We start from the raw sequence: 12,619 nt of genomic DNA on the forward strand, positions 1-12,619 counted from the left end.
TTTTTAGTAGAGACAAGGTTTCACCATGTTAGCCAGGATGGTCTCCATCTGACCTCATGATCCGCCTGCCTCGGCCTCCCAAAGTGCTGGGATTACAGGGGTGAGCCACCGCGCGTGGCCAATTTTTGTATTTTTAGTAAAGATAGGGTTTCACCATGTTGGCCAGGCTGGTCTCAAACTCCTGACCTCAAATGATCCACCCACCTTGGCCTCCCAAAGTGCTGGGATTACAGGCGTGAGCCACTGTGCCTGACCCCATCTGTTTATTAATCCATCCATTCATCCACCCACCCTTCAATCCATCCAAATCCCTGATCTTAATTCCCTAACCAGGATATGTTAACGCCCCAAAGCTAGAGTCCTCTCTAGCACTCATCTGGCAGAGAAATAGAACACAGTAGCTCATTCAGCTAACACAGATGAAAATTCTACAGACATATAAATCCACAAATGAAAACTGTGCCCATATTCATACACAATACACAATATTGTATATTGTACAATATTGTACGTTGAATTGCATTCAATGATTTTACACATATACAAATTAAACCCAAAACCCACTGACCACAACAATATACAAAATTACTTACATCCATACATATAAGATATAATGCAATTTAAATGTATGATATGTATTAGGGTAGCACATAGTAATACTTGAGCAACACTATTATTAATTAACCTACATACACATAAAAAATTATACACATATGTACACACAGTTATGCATGCAAATGAATACATACAAAATACATGTCTGATTATACCAGTGATTGTGAACATACACACAATTTTATGTTTATGTTTGCAAATTGTACCCATATTTGAATTTTGCACAGGTATAATCAGACCCACAATTACCCCCAGGTGCACATTTGTGTAATTAGACAAAATCATCTTGACACACAAGACACAAAGTTGTATACATACACACGATGACACCCAGATAATTAACTACACAGATACACAACTCACTGGTTGAGGCAGGGAGTGTAGGAATTCTTGTCTTCCTCAATGATGGACACTATGAGGGTAATCAGCTTGGACCAGAAGTCGAGGTTCTTGATGCTGGGCCCCTGTTCCTCTGGGAGAACTTCCCCCTTCTTGGCCTGAAATGGACAGTGGAGACCTCGGTTATAGGGGGTCCAGAGGTTGGTGCCTCGGTCAGTTTATTACTGAAGAACAAGAGGTTTTAGAGGAATGCATCCCATCATCATGTGTATGGTTCAGGTAAGAAATCTATATAGAGAGGAATTGAACTCATAAACTGGCCCAAACAGAGCTCATGTCAATGCAGCTTGATAAAGCTTAAGATTTTTAGACTCCACTCTAAAAGTGAATGGAAATAAATGAAACCAAATTTAGTTGAACAAACCCAGCTCCACTAAACCAAATGGAAATGAAATGAATGCAAATTAAGCCCACTTAGCTTAACGGAAGTAAGTTCTTCCTCTGAGTTAAATCAATGGAACTGAACTTGGGCCAATCACACTGAATGGAGTGCAATTCAACCTAACTGGATTGAATTAAACTCAAATGAATTCCGTTGGATTGAACCTAATCAACTTGTCCAAGATCAACATCAACCCAAATCAAAATAATGGAAATAAATCGACTCGAACTCAACTCTACCCAAGTCAACCCAATCCGATTCTACCTATCTAAACCCAACTGAACATACGCAGGGCAATTCAACCCACCTTTGTTAATCAATGGAAATGAATATAATCAGCTGAAATTAGCCCAATTCAACCCAATTCAACTGAAATCAATTGCATCTAATCCAACAACCCAGTTCATCCTAACTCAAGACAATTTAACCCAGTTGAGAACAACTTGACTTGAATGTAAATGAACTAAATGGAAATGAATGAATTTGTACTCAATAAAACTCAATGCAATCAACCAACTTGTTCTTCTCTCTATTTTTTTTTTTTTTCTTTCAAGAGACAGAGTCTCATTCTGTCACCCAGGCTGGAGCGCAGTGGTGCAATCATGGCTCACCATAGACTCGAACTCCTGGGCTCAAGTGATCCTTCCACCTCAGCCTCCAAAGTAGCCAGGACTACAGGTGCGCCACCACACCTGGCTAATTTTTGTATATTTTGCAAAGATAGGGTCTCGCTATGTTGCCCAAACTGGTCTCGAGCTCCTGGCCTCAAGGGATCCTCCTGCCTCAGCCTCCTAAAGTGCTGACATTACAGGTGTGAGCCACTGAGCCCAGCCTGGCTCACTAATTTGTCAAGAACAATTTTTTTTTTTTTTTTGAGACGGAGTCTCGCTCTGTCACCCAGGCCGGAGTGCAGTGATGCGATCTCAGCTCACTGCAAGCTCTGCCTCCCAGGTTCACACCATTCTCCTGCCTCAGCCTCCCAAGTATCTGGGACTACAGGTGCCCGCCACCACGCCCGGCTAATTTTTTTGTATTTTTAGTAGAGACGGGGTTTCACTGTGTTAGCCAGGATGGTCTCGATCTCCTGACCTCATGATCCACCCACCTCGGCCTCTCAAAGTGCTGGGATTACAGGCGTGAGCCACTGTGCCTGGCCGTCAAGAACAATTTTAACTTAAGTCAACCAAATAGAAATAAATATAACTAAACTGATTATGGTTGAACTAAACAATCTAATTTAATCCAGTTCACCTCAACTCAATTCAAATGAGAGTGAGACTGATTCCAACTCTAGTCAACTGAATGTAAAGGAACAGAATGAAATCAAATTGAACTGAACACAGCTTATGTGTTATATCCTATCAGAACCTGGGTAGGGGCTGCCTCCAGCTCCCACAGCCTCCTGAGATCCCACTATCTCAATACTAACCATCCCTGTTTGTAAATTTCCAGTTTGTACATCTTTCCCTCATAATAGGCTATAAGCTCCTTATAGCCTAATTTAATCCAGTTCACCTCAACTCAATTCAAATGAGAGTGAGACTGATTCCAACTCTAGTCAACTGAATGTAAAGGAACAGAATGAAATCAAATTGAACTGAACACAGCTTATGTGTTATATCCTATCAGAACCTGGGTAGGGGCTGCCTCCAGCTCCCACAGCCTCCTGAGATCCCACTATCTCAATACTAACCATCCCTGTTTGTAAATTTCCAGTTTGTACATCTTTCCCTCATAATAGGCTATAAGCTCCTTACAGGTGGTGGCTCATGCCTGTAATCCCAGCACTTTGGGAGGCTGAGGCAGGAGGATCGCTTGAGCCCAGGAGATCAGCCTGGGCAACATAGTGAGATGCCATCTCCACAAAAATACAAAAACTAGCCTGTCATGGTGGTGCGTGCCTATAGTCCCAGCTACTTGGGAGGCTGAGGTGGGAGGATCACTTGAGCCTGGGAGGTCGAGGCTGCAGTGAGCCATGATTGCATCACTGCACTCCAGCCTGGGCAACAGAGCAAGACCCCATCTCAAAATAAATAAATAAATTCAATTCAACTCAACATTTACTGAACAGTGACTGTATGCCAGACATAAATTTTTATGCCAGGCTGGGAGTGGTGGCTCACGCCTATAATCTCAGTACTTTGGGAGGCCGAGGCAGGTGGATCACCTGAGGTCAAGGAGTTCGAGACCAGCCTGGCCAACATGGTGAAACCCCGTTTTTACTAAAAATACAAAAAATTAACTAGGTGTGGTGGTGGGCACCTGTAATCCCAGCTACTCGGGAGTCTGAGGCAGGAGAATCATTTAAACCTGGGAGGCAGAGGTTGCAGTGAGCTGAGATCACACCACTGCACTCCAGCCTGGGAAGCAAGAGTGAAACTTTATCTCAAAAAAAAAAAATTTTTTTTTATGCCAAACTCAACTACGCAACCAAATGTACTGAGTGCCGACTATATTTTATCTAAACTTACAGCTCATGAACTCTTCTCCCTAATCCTGAGATGTGGGTTAATGACCCCATTTTATAGAAGAAGATACTGAGGTTCAGAAGAGTTAAATCCCTCGGGAAGGGGCAGGGCTGGGACTGAAGCCTGTGTCTAGTTGGCATCACTGTTCCCTTCTGACCCATCTGGAGTCTCACCGGGTCTGTCTGGTACTCCCGGCTGTACAGTTCATGGCAGTTATTGAAGATGTACTCGTAGGTAGAATTAAGGCAGGCTTTCACACAGTCCTTTACCACCTGGCTGGCTCGGGGCGGGCTCTGGAGTTCTTGTACCTGAAGGGAGGGAGAGAGGCATAGGCGGCCACAGCTGTGACAGGAGGTCCCCAGGAAGTGACTGCGAGTCATTTTGGGTTTAAGGAAATGAAGTGGTATGAAAGGAAAAGGTTACTGAGAAAGGCTGCCACTCTCCAGGAGGAATGTCACTTGTCCTGGGAGCTGGGGATCCTAGAGAACCCTCCTTGGAGAGCAAAGGCAACTGGATCCTTTCCTACCTTCATCCGAAAGAAGGTGATGCTGGTGAGAAGGTCCACAGTGGATTTGAGGTCCTGGAGTCTCTCCGGGCTGCTGGCTGGGAAGTTATTCTGTTGGGAGCAGGAAGAGATGTGGGGTTATGGAAGAAGGCGTGGGGAGGATGGGAGACTGCTTTTCAGGGGGATACAAAGGCTCCCCGGTTTCAGGCTGGGGGTTGATTAGAGCACCTCGAAGCAACTGGGGATCTGCTTGGATGCACCAAGCACATTACGGCAGGTAGTGCCCATGCAGGTGCACACATGCTGGAGGAACACATCGTACATGCGAAGATGGGTCCTCCCATGCACACACCTGCTGGTAGCTTTCCCCTCCAGGCACACACATGTGCGTGGGGTGAGCAAATTCTCATGCACACACTTCCTACCCGGTACATGGAGAGGTCAATCCGCAGGGAGTTATGCAGCTGGTCCAGGAGTTTCACGAAGCGCTCTTTCTGAGGAGGAAGGGGAGGAGGGAGGATGGATGGAGGCAGGACATGGCCGCCATAGTGGCTGAGCGCCTACTGTACAGTAAGTATACCTCATCCACCACCCTCATAATGTCCATTTCCATTCTATGGCATTTTTTTTTTTGTTTTGAGACAGAGTCTTGCTCTGTTGCCCAGGCTGGAGTGTAGTGGCGCAGTCTCAGCTCACTGCAACCTCCGACTCCTAGGCTCAAGCAATTCTCCTGCCTCAGCCTCCCAAGTGGCTGGGACTACAGGCACAGGCCACCACACCCAGCTAATTTTCTTTTGGATTTTTAGAAGAGACGGGTTTTCACCGTGTTGGCCAGGCTGGTCTCGAACTCCTGGCCTCAAGTGATTCTCCAGCCTCGGCCTCCCAAAGTGCTGGGATTACAGGCATGAGCCACTGCGCCCGACCTCCATTCTATAGCATTCTACAGAGGAATAAATGGAGGCTCAGAGACGGGAAGTGACTGGTGGAAAGTCACACAGCAATCAGGTCTAGACTGGGGACCCAGAAGTCACATCAGATCTGACCGGCATAAAGTTGGGCTCTCCCTAATTCTCCAATCCCAGTCCCCAGGACTGACCCCAAAGTTGGAGGCGGCGAAGCGGTCGGAGGCAGACACGTTGGTGGAGGCGGTGGTGTGTGCGTAGTAGGCATTGATGTTGGCGAGCAGGGTGCTCATGACGGCAGGCACCCCTGGGCACATATACTTGGAGGAGAGGCAGGCAAAGTGGCTGGAGAGAGGGAGCAGGAGGCACTAGGCCAGGGGTCCAGCCAGGATGGACCAAGATCCCCCCTAGAATGCCTCCAAGATAGCATCTGTGAGTGGGTCTCTGTCACCTCCTAAACCATCCCCTGCCTGATTCTGTCCTTTGGGTCTCCGCATCTCCTCTCCCCTCCATCTTTATATCCATTTGAGTTGCTCTAATTCTGCTTCTTTTTTTCTTTCTTTCTTTTTTTTTTTTTTTTGAGATGGAGTCTCACTCTGTCACCCAGGCTGGAGTTTAGTGGCGCAATCTCGGCTCACTGCAACCCCTGCCCCCCAGGTTCAAGCAATTCTCCCACCCTAACTTCCCGAGTAGCTGGGATTACAGGCCCAAGCCACCACACCTGGATAACTTTTGTATTTTTAGTAGAGATGGGGTTTCACCATGTTGGCCAGGCTGGTCTTGTACTCCTGGACCTGGAGTGATCCGCCCACCTCAGCCTCCTAAAATGCTGGGATTACAGGCTTGAGCCACTGTGCCCAGCCTCTATCTCTGCTTCTAAGTCTTCCCTCTCTTCCATGTCACTCCAGGTGTCAATCACAGCGCTCTCCTGATCTCCAGGGGAATTACGGAACCCACCACCACCACGCCCACTTCCTCTCTGGGTCTTCCCCCTGAGAATCCCTCCCACCCCAGACCTGCCAGTGCCCACTTGGTGACCTCCCTCTTGTTTCCTGCACCCCAGCCTGCAGTCTCACGTCATGGCTTGGTAGATGGACTCGACGCCGTAGCGCATGGCAAACTCGTCCACAATCTCCTGGGCTGTCTCATCGTAGTAAACCTTCCAGGCATCGTCACCCTTGGCATCTGGGATCTTCACGACCCCATTGTTCTGCACGTCGGTCACGAAGTGGAACAGGTTCTGCCACCATGGGAGAGAAAGTGTCATGGAGAGTGCAAGGGGTCGCCGGGGGTCAGAGGTCCCAGGGTCTGGGGCAGCTTACATCATCCATCTGCCTGTTTATTCATTAATTCATTCATCTACTCTTTTATCCATCCACACACCCACCCATCTAACTACCCCAAATTTCACCCATCCACTCTTCCAACCTTTCAGTAATTCAACCACACATCCATCCATCCATCCATTCATCCATCCCATACATTGATCCGCAACTTAATCCACCTACCCAATCATTCATTCTTTCATACAACCAACCATCCATCCACCCATCAATTTATCCAACCATCCATTTTTCGTCTGTCCACCAGCCACTCACAACCATCCATCTAAATATTCAGAAATTATGAACCCAATTATCAATACTTGCAATAGTTCAACCACACATCCTTCCATTCATCCACCCACCCATTCATCCATTTGTCCATCTGCCTATACATCCATCCATCCATCCATCCATCTACCTATCTACCCATCTGACTATCAACAAATTCACCTATCTACTCAATCTTCCTTCTAATAACTCAACCACACTTCCATCCATCCCATCCAATACAACTTAATCTGCTCATCCAACATTTCATCTATCCACCCAGTCAATCATCTATCCAGCAATCTATCTATCCACTCATCAAGTTATCCATCCATCATTCATCTATACTCATCCATCATCTAACAATTACCCCCAAATTCACCCATCCATACATCTATACTTTCAATAGTTCAATCATATATCCATCCATCTGTCCATCCATCCATCATCCATCTAGCCACGAATCTACCCACCAACTCATCCATCTATCCATCCATGTACTCACCCATCTCTCCATCCATCCTTTTATCTACTCATCACTCATTCATCTGTTCAATCATTCATTCATTCACCAGCATTTATTCAACAAACTAGTTCCTGGGGATAAGAGTTCTTTCCAGGAAACCCAGGCAGCTGGAAGAGACATACCCAGACACAAACGGCCCAATCCTGAGTGGTTAGGGCTGGAATAGAAGGAAGAACCTGATGATGAGTAGTGAGAGTCAACCTGGAGGCCAAGGTGGGCTTCCCAGAGGAGGTGACCCTGAATCTGGACTTTGATGGATAGGGAGGAGTTTTCCAGGTAAAGGGAATGGCATGGCGGGCAGTCTCAGAGGGCCAGGAGAGTGTGGATGGTGTGGCCAGAAAGAGGAAGAGCTGGGCAGGCAGGAATGGTGAGTGGAAGTGGCATGGGAGGGGCCGAGCAATGACCCTCACCTCATGCAGACAGGTGTACTGGACATGGTACGGGGCCACCTTCTCCTCGCCTTTGATCTCCACACTGATGTGGAGCCGGATGGCACCCGACACGGCAGATTTGTCAGTTCGCTTGTCTGCAGGGCAGAAAAAGAAGACAGTGTCAGAACTTCCCACTATAGCAGTGGGCAATTTTTTTTTTTTTAAGAGGGAGTCTTGCTCTTGTCACCCAGGCTGGAGTGCAGTGGCACGATCTCAGCTCACTGCAACCTCCACCTCCTGGGTTCAAGCGATTCTCCTGTCTCAGCCTCCCAACTAGCTGGAATTACAGGTGCCTGCCACCGTGCCCAGCTAATTTTTATACTTTTAGTAGAGACGGGGTTTCACCATGTTGGCCAGGCTGGTCTCGAACTCCTTACCTCAGGTGATCCACCTACCTCAGCCTCCCAAAGTGCTGGAATTACAGGCGTGAGTCACCGCGCCCGGCCAGCCATGGGCAAATTTTTTTTTATTTTATTTTTTTTTGAGATCTGTGGTCCAGGTTAGAGTGCGGTGGCGCAATCTTGGCTCACTGCAATCTCCACCTCCTGAGTTCAAGCAATTGTCTTGCCTCAGCCTCCCGAGTAGCTGGGATTACAGGCATGTGCCATCACACCCACCTAATTTTTTATTTTTAGTAGAGACGAGGTTTCACCATGTTGGCCAGGCTGGTCTCGAACTCCTGACCTCAGGTGATCCGCCCGCCTCGGCCTCCCAAGGCAATTTTTAATAGATACACGATTCTGTAGTCCTCCCAGACTTCCGGAAACTAAGGCTTTGGTGTCTCTCTTCTGATTGGCTCCCTAGGCTTGAGTCTCCCTGTTTAGGCTAGAATTCCTTAAGCCCTGTCTCTTCCTTCAAACAAGGATCCCAGACCTTGCTTCTTCACTCAGATTAAGTTCCTGGCTATGTGCCTCCCTCCTTAGACTAGCAGCCCTAGGCCCCACTTCTTTCCCAGTCTGAGCTCCCAGGCCCTGCCTCCCCCATCAGATCATGCTCCCCGGAGACTACACATCTTAGACACTGTTCCTGGGTCTGTGCCTCTCTCCTCAGACTAGGACCCCCTGGTCTTGTCTCCCACCTCCCCCATCAGAATGGGATATCTAGATGTCCTCCAATCTAAGAGGTTTCCGGGCTCTGCTCACCTCTCTCAGGCTGGGTCCTTTCTACCCCCTCAGATTAGGCTCATACACCCTGCTTCCTCCATTAGATTGGACTCCCCAGATTCTACTCAACTTCCTTACACAGGGTTCTTTGATCTGTAGCAGCCATCTCAGATTAGGATTCCCAAACAATACCTCCCTCTTTAGACTGGATTCTTTTCTTGTGGTGGGGGGTCGGGGGGACACAGAGTCTTGCTCTATCGCCCAGGCTGGAGTGCAGTGGCATGATCATAGCTCACTGCAGCTTCAACCTCCCAGGTACAAATGATGCTTCCACCTCAGCCTCCCAAGTGGCTGGGACTACAGGCACGCATCACCACACCCAGCTATTTTTTTTTTTTTAATGGAGACAAAGGCCTTGTTATGTTGCCCAGGCTGGTCTCGAACTCCTGGGCTCAAGTGACCCTCCCAGCTCAGCCACCCAACCAATATGTTGGGATAACAGGTGGGAGCCACCATGCCCAGCCTGGATTCCATTTTTTTTTTCTTTTTCTTTTGTTTTTTTTTTTTTTTTTTGAGACGGAGTCTTCCTTTGTTGCCCAGGCTGGAGTGCAGGGGCTTGATCTCGCCATGTTGGACAATCTGGTCTCAAACTCCTGACCTCAAGTGATCTGCCTGCCTCAGCCGTCCCAAACTGTTGGGATTATAGGCGTGAGACACTGCACCCGGCCATATTTGTTTTTTGAGAAAGGGTCTCACTCTGTTCCCTGGGCTGGAGTGCAGCAGTGTGATCACAGCTCACTGCAGCCTTTACCTCTCAGGCTCAGGGGATCCTCCCACCTTAGCCTCCAGAGTAGGTGGGACCACAGGTGAGTGTCACCCTGCCTAGCTAATTTTTGTATCTTTTATAGAGATGGGGTTTCACTATGTTGCCCAGGCTGGTCTTGAACTCCTGGACTCAAGTGATTGGCCTGCCTCAGCCTCCCATAGTGATAGGATTAATTACAGATGTGAGCCACTGCCCGGCGCCCCCAGCCTGGATTCTTTTTTTTTTTTTTTTGAGTGGGAGTTTTGCTCTCGTTGCCTAGGCTGGAGTGCAGTGGCGCAGTCTCAGCTCACTGCAACCTCCGCTTCCTGGGTTCAAGCGATTCTCCTGCCTCAGCCTCCCAAGTAGCTGGGACTACAGGCACCCACCACCACGCCTGGCTAATTTTTGTATTTTTAGTGGAGACGGGGTTTCACCATGTTAGCCAGGCTGGTCTCGAACTCCTGACCTCATGTGATCTGCCTGCCTCAGCTTCCCAAAGTGCTGGGATTACAGGCGTGAGCCACCATACCTGGCCCCAGCCTGGATTCTTAAAGCTCAATCTTCTTTCTTAGATTTAGTTCCTAGGTCTCTGTCTCTCCCCTCAGACTAGGATTCCCAGTTCTTGCTTCTTGCCTCCCCCATTAGACTAGAACATGGAGATTCTGTCCCCACCCTCCCTCCTAAGCTGAACTAAGAGGTTCCTGGGCTCTGCTCACCCTCCTGGCCTGGGTGCTTCCTGCTCCCATCAAACTGGGCTCCTAGACCCTGCCTCCCCCATCAGATTATGCTCCTCGACCAAACTCCTCCTGAGAACACATCTCTCTGCTCTTCGTGGGCTCCATGCTCTGGCTGGATCCCTGGGACCCGTCCCCACCCGCTTCAGAACCCAGCTTCTCTCACCCAGGTTGTACCACACGTCCATCTCGCCGCTGAGCGTCCGCACCTCAATGATCGTCTGCCCCAGGAAATCGTCAGATTCCCTCTTGAACCTCTGTTTCACGCGGGATTTGATGTCGTCATCCTCGTCCCAGACGCGCACCTTGATGCGGTCGGAGGAATTGTGACATTCACTGTGGCGGGAGGAGGAGGCAGAGGCAGGGGTCAGGCAGCCAGTGTGAGTCCTGTCCTTGGAGCCCTCTTTTGGCTGCCCCAGCAGGATGCCCCACATGGGGCCAGGGACCCAGCCAGGCACTTACAAGTGGAAATTCTCCTCCCACACCGGGTTGAGGTTCCCATAGATGGTTTTTGTCCGTTTCTTGGTCTTCCCGACCTGGACGGTGACATAGGGGTCACTGGATCCTGTCTTGTCCTTTGCCTGCAAGCCCTGGGCGCAGACCACTGGAAGACACAGAGGGCATACACAGGTGTGCACTCAAGAAGCGAGGCATGCTGGGGACAGTCACTGCCACACGCTGCAGGCTGATAATTGGGACACCTGCAGCATGGCTGGAGAGCAATGGCAGGGCACGCTGGGCTTGCCAGAGAGGTTTTTTGTGTGTTTGTTTGTTTGTTTGTTTGTTTTTGAGACAGAGTTTTGCTCGTCACCCAGGCTGGAGTGCAACCTCCGCCTCCCGGGTTCAAGCAATTCTCCTGCCTCAGCCTCCCAAGTAGCTGGGATTACCCGCACGTGCCACCCCATCCGGCCAATCGTTTTGCATTTTTAGTAGAGATGGGGTTTCACCATGTTGGCCAGGTCGGTCTCGAATTCCTGACCTCAGGTGATCCGCCTGCCTCAGCCTCAGCCTCCCAAAGTGCTGGGAAGGAGTCCCCAAACCATGAAGGATGGGAAGGTGCCCCAGCTGCCTTGCGCATGGGTAGGACCTCTCTCAGGTGTGAACTCCCTGAGGTCAGACACTTACAAGAACCCATTGCCCCCCGAGATCTCCTGCTCGTTGGTGCCCCCTGCAGGGTTCCTTCCCTCCCTGACTTACCACCCCAGCTCCGTCCTGGGGTCACTTCCTGGATAACCCACATAACCTGAAATCCTCATCCTCAGGTCTGTTTATGGGGAAACCCACATGAGGCTGGGTGTGGAGAAAAGCCAGTATCCTCGCCCCTAAGTGGGGCCACACTGAGCTGCATGCTCGACATTGTCCCCAGTGGCCCCAGGATGGGCTGACCCCCTTGCCCACAGCATTGTCTGCTCAACGGCATCTCCTTCAGGACTCCTTCCATCCCTGTCTCAAGTCCTTGCCCCTCACCAGGACTTTCTGGGGTCACTTTCCAGATAAACCATGCACCCTCAATTCCTCTTCTTGGAGTCTCATTCTGGAGGGCACCATCCAAGACGCACCCAGATACAGTGCCATGAACAGGCGTTTGGAGGCACGCATGTCCCCCCATATGCGTGCACACACGGAGATGAGATGGAATGCACCCGACCGAGTGAGTGCGCGCTGCAAAGGAGAGGGACCAGGCCATGGGACAGGGCATGAGACAGGTCTCAGAGGGTGGAGAAGGAGGGGCCCTATGGCGGCCCACGCCCCCTCACCGGTGATGCTGATCTTGGCGGACCACTTGGACGTGCCGTCCAGCACGCTCTGCTTGACCGCCTTCATCTGCTGCGTGTGCGCCGTCTTGGTCACCGCGAAGATCTCCTGGATGAGCTCGAAGATCTCGGGCTTGTTGCGCTCCCGGATCTTCATGCGGTCCTTGAGCACCATGATGATGTTCTGTGTCCGGTCCTCCGCCCCGTGCTTGGAGCTCTTCTCCGCAGCCCCTGAGGACGCCCGAGGCCGGCGCTGACCCCAGCGCGCCCTGCATAGTGGCCCCTCACCAAGGCGAGAGCCCCGCCCCTACTCATCAACCGGGGGGACTCAGGTGTCACCCCCTGAAGCCGGTTTCCTACCTGCTTTCTGTACCCCCCACCCAGACCCTTCACCCTTCCACCT

At 50.0% G+C, this 12,619-nt stretch overlaps 1 protein-coding gene across 7 annotated transcripts in view; it reads right to left on the reverse strand.

The window, feature by feature from the left end:
- The window catches only part of UNC13A (unc-13 homolog A), an 87,019-nt gene that overhangs the window by 33,710 nt on the left and 40,690 nt on the right, over nt 1-12,619 (reverse strand). For all 7 annotated transcript variants that reach the window (XM_011527810.3, NM_001387022.1, NM_001387023.1 and 4 more), the window contains 10 exons: nt 12,220-12,447; nt 10,925-11,066; nt 10,629-10,798; nt 7,800-7,915; nt 6,348-6,511; nt 5,466-5,616; nt 4,795-4,863; nt 4,391-4,480; nt 4,038-4,172; nt 979-1,112 (listed from right to left, as the gene is read on the reverse strand). In XM_011527810.3, coding sequence (XP_011526112.1) covers nt 979-1,112; nt 4,038-4,172; nt 4,391-4,480; nt 4,795-4,863; nt 5,466-5,616; nt 6,348-6,511; nt 7,800-7,915; nt 10,629-10,798; nt 10,925-11,066; nt 12,220-12,447 — 1,399 coding nt within the window. The remainder of the gene's footprint in view (nt 1-978; nt 1,113-4,037; nt 4,173-4,390; nt 4,481-4,794; nt 4,864-5,465; nt 5,617-6,347; nt 6,512-7,799; nt 7,916-10,628; nt 10,799-10,924; nt 11,067-12,219; nt 12,448-12,619) is intronic.

Source organism: Homo sapiens, chromosome 19, assembly GCF_000001405.40.
Source record: "Homo sapiens chromosome 19, GRCh38.p14 Primary Assembly".
NCBI lineage: Eukaryota > Metazoa > Chordata > Mammalia > Primates > Hominidae > Homo > Homo sapiens.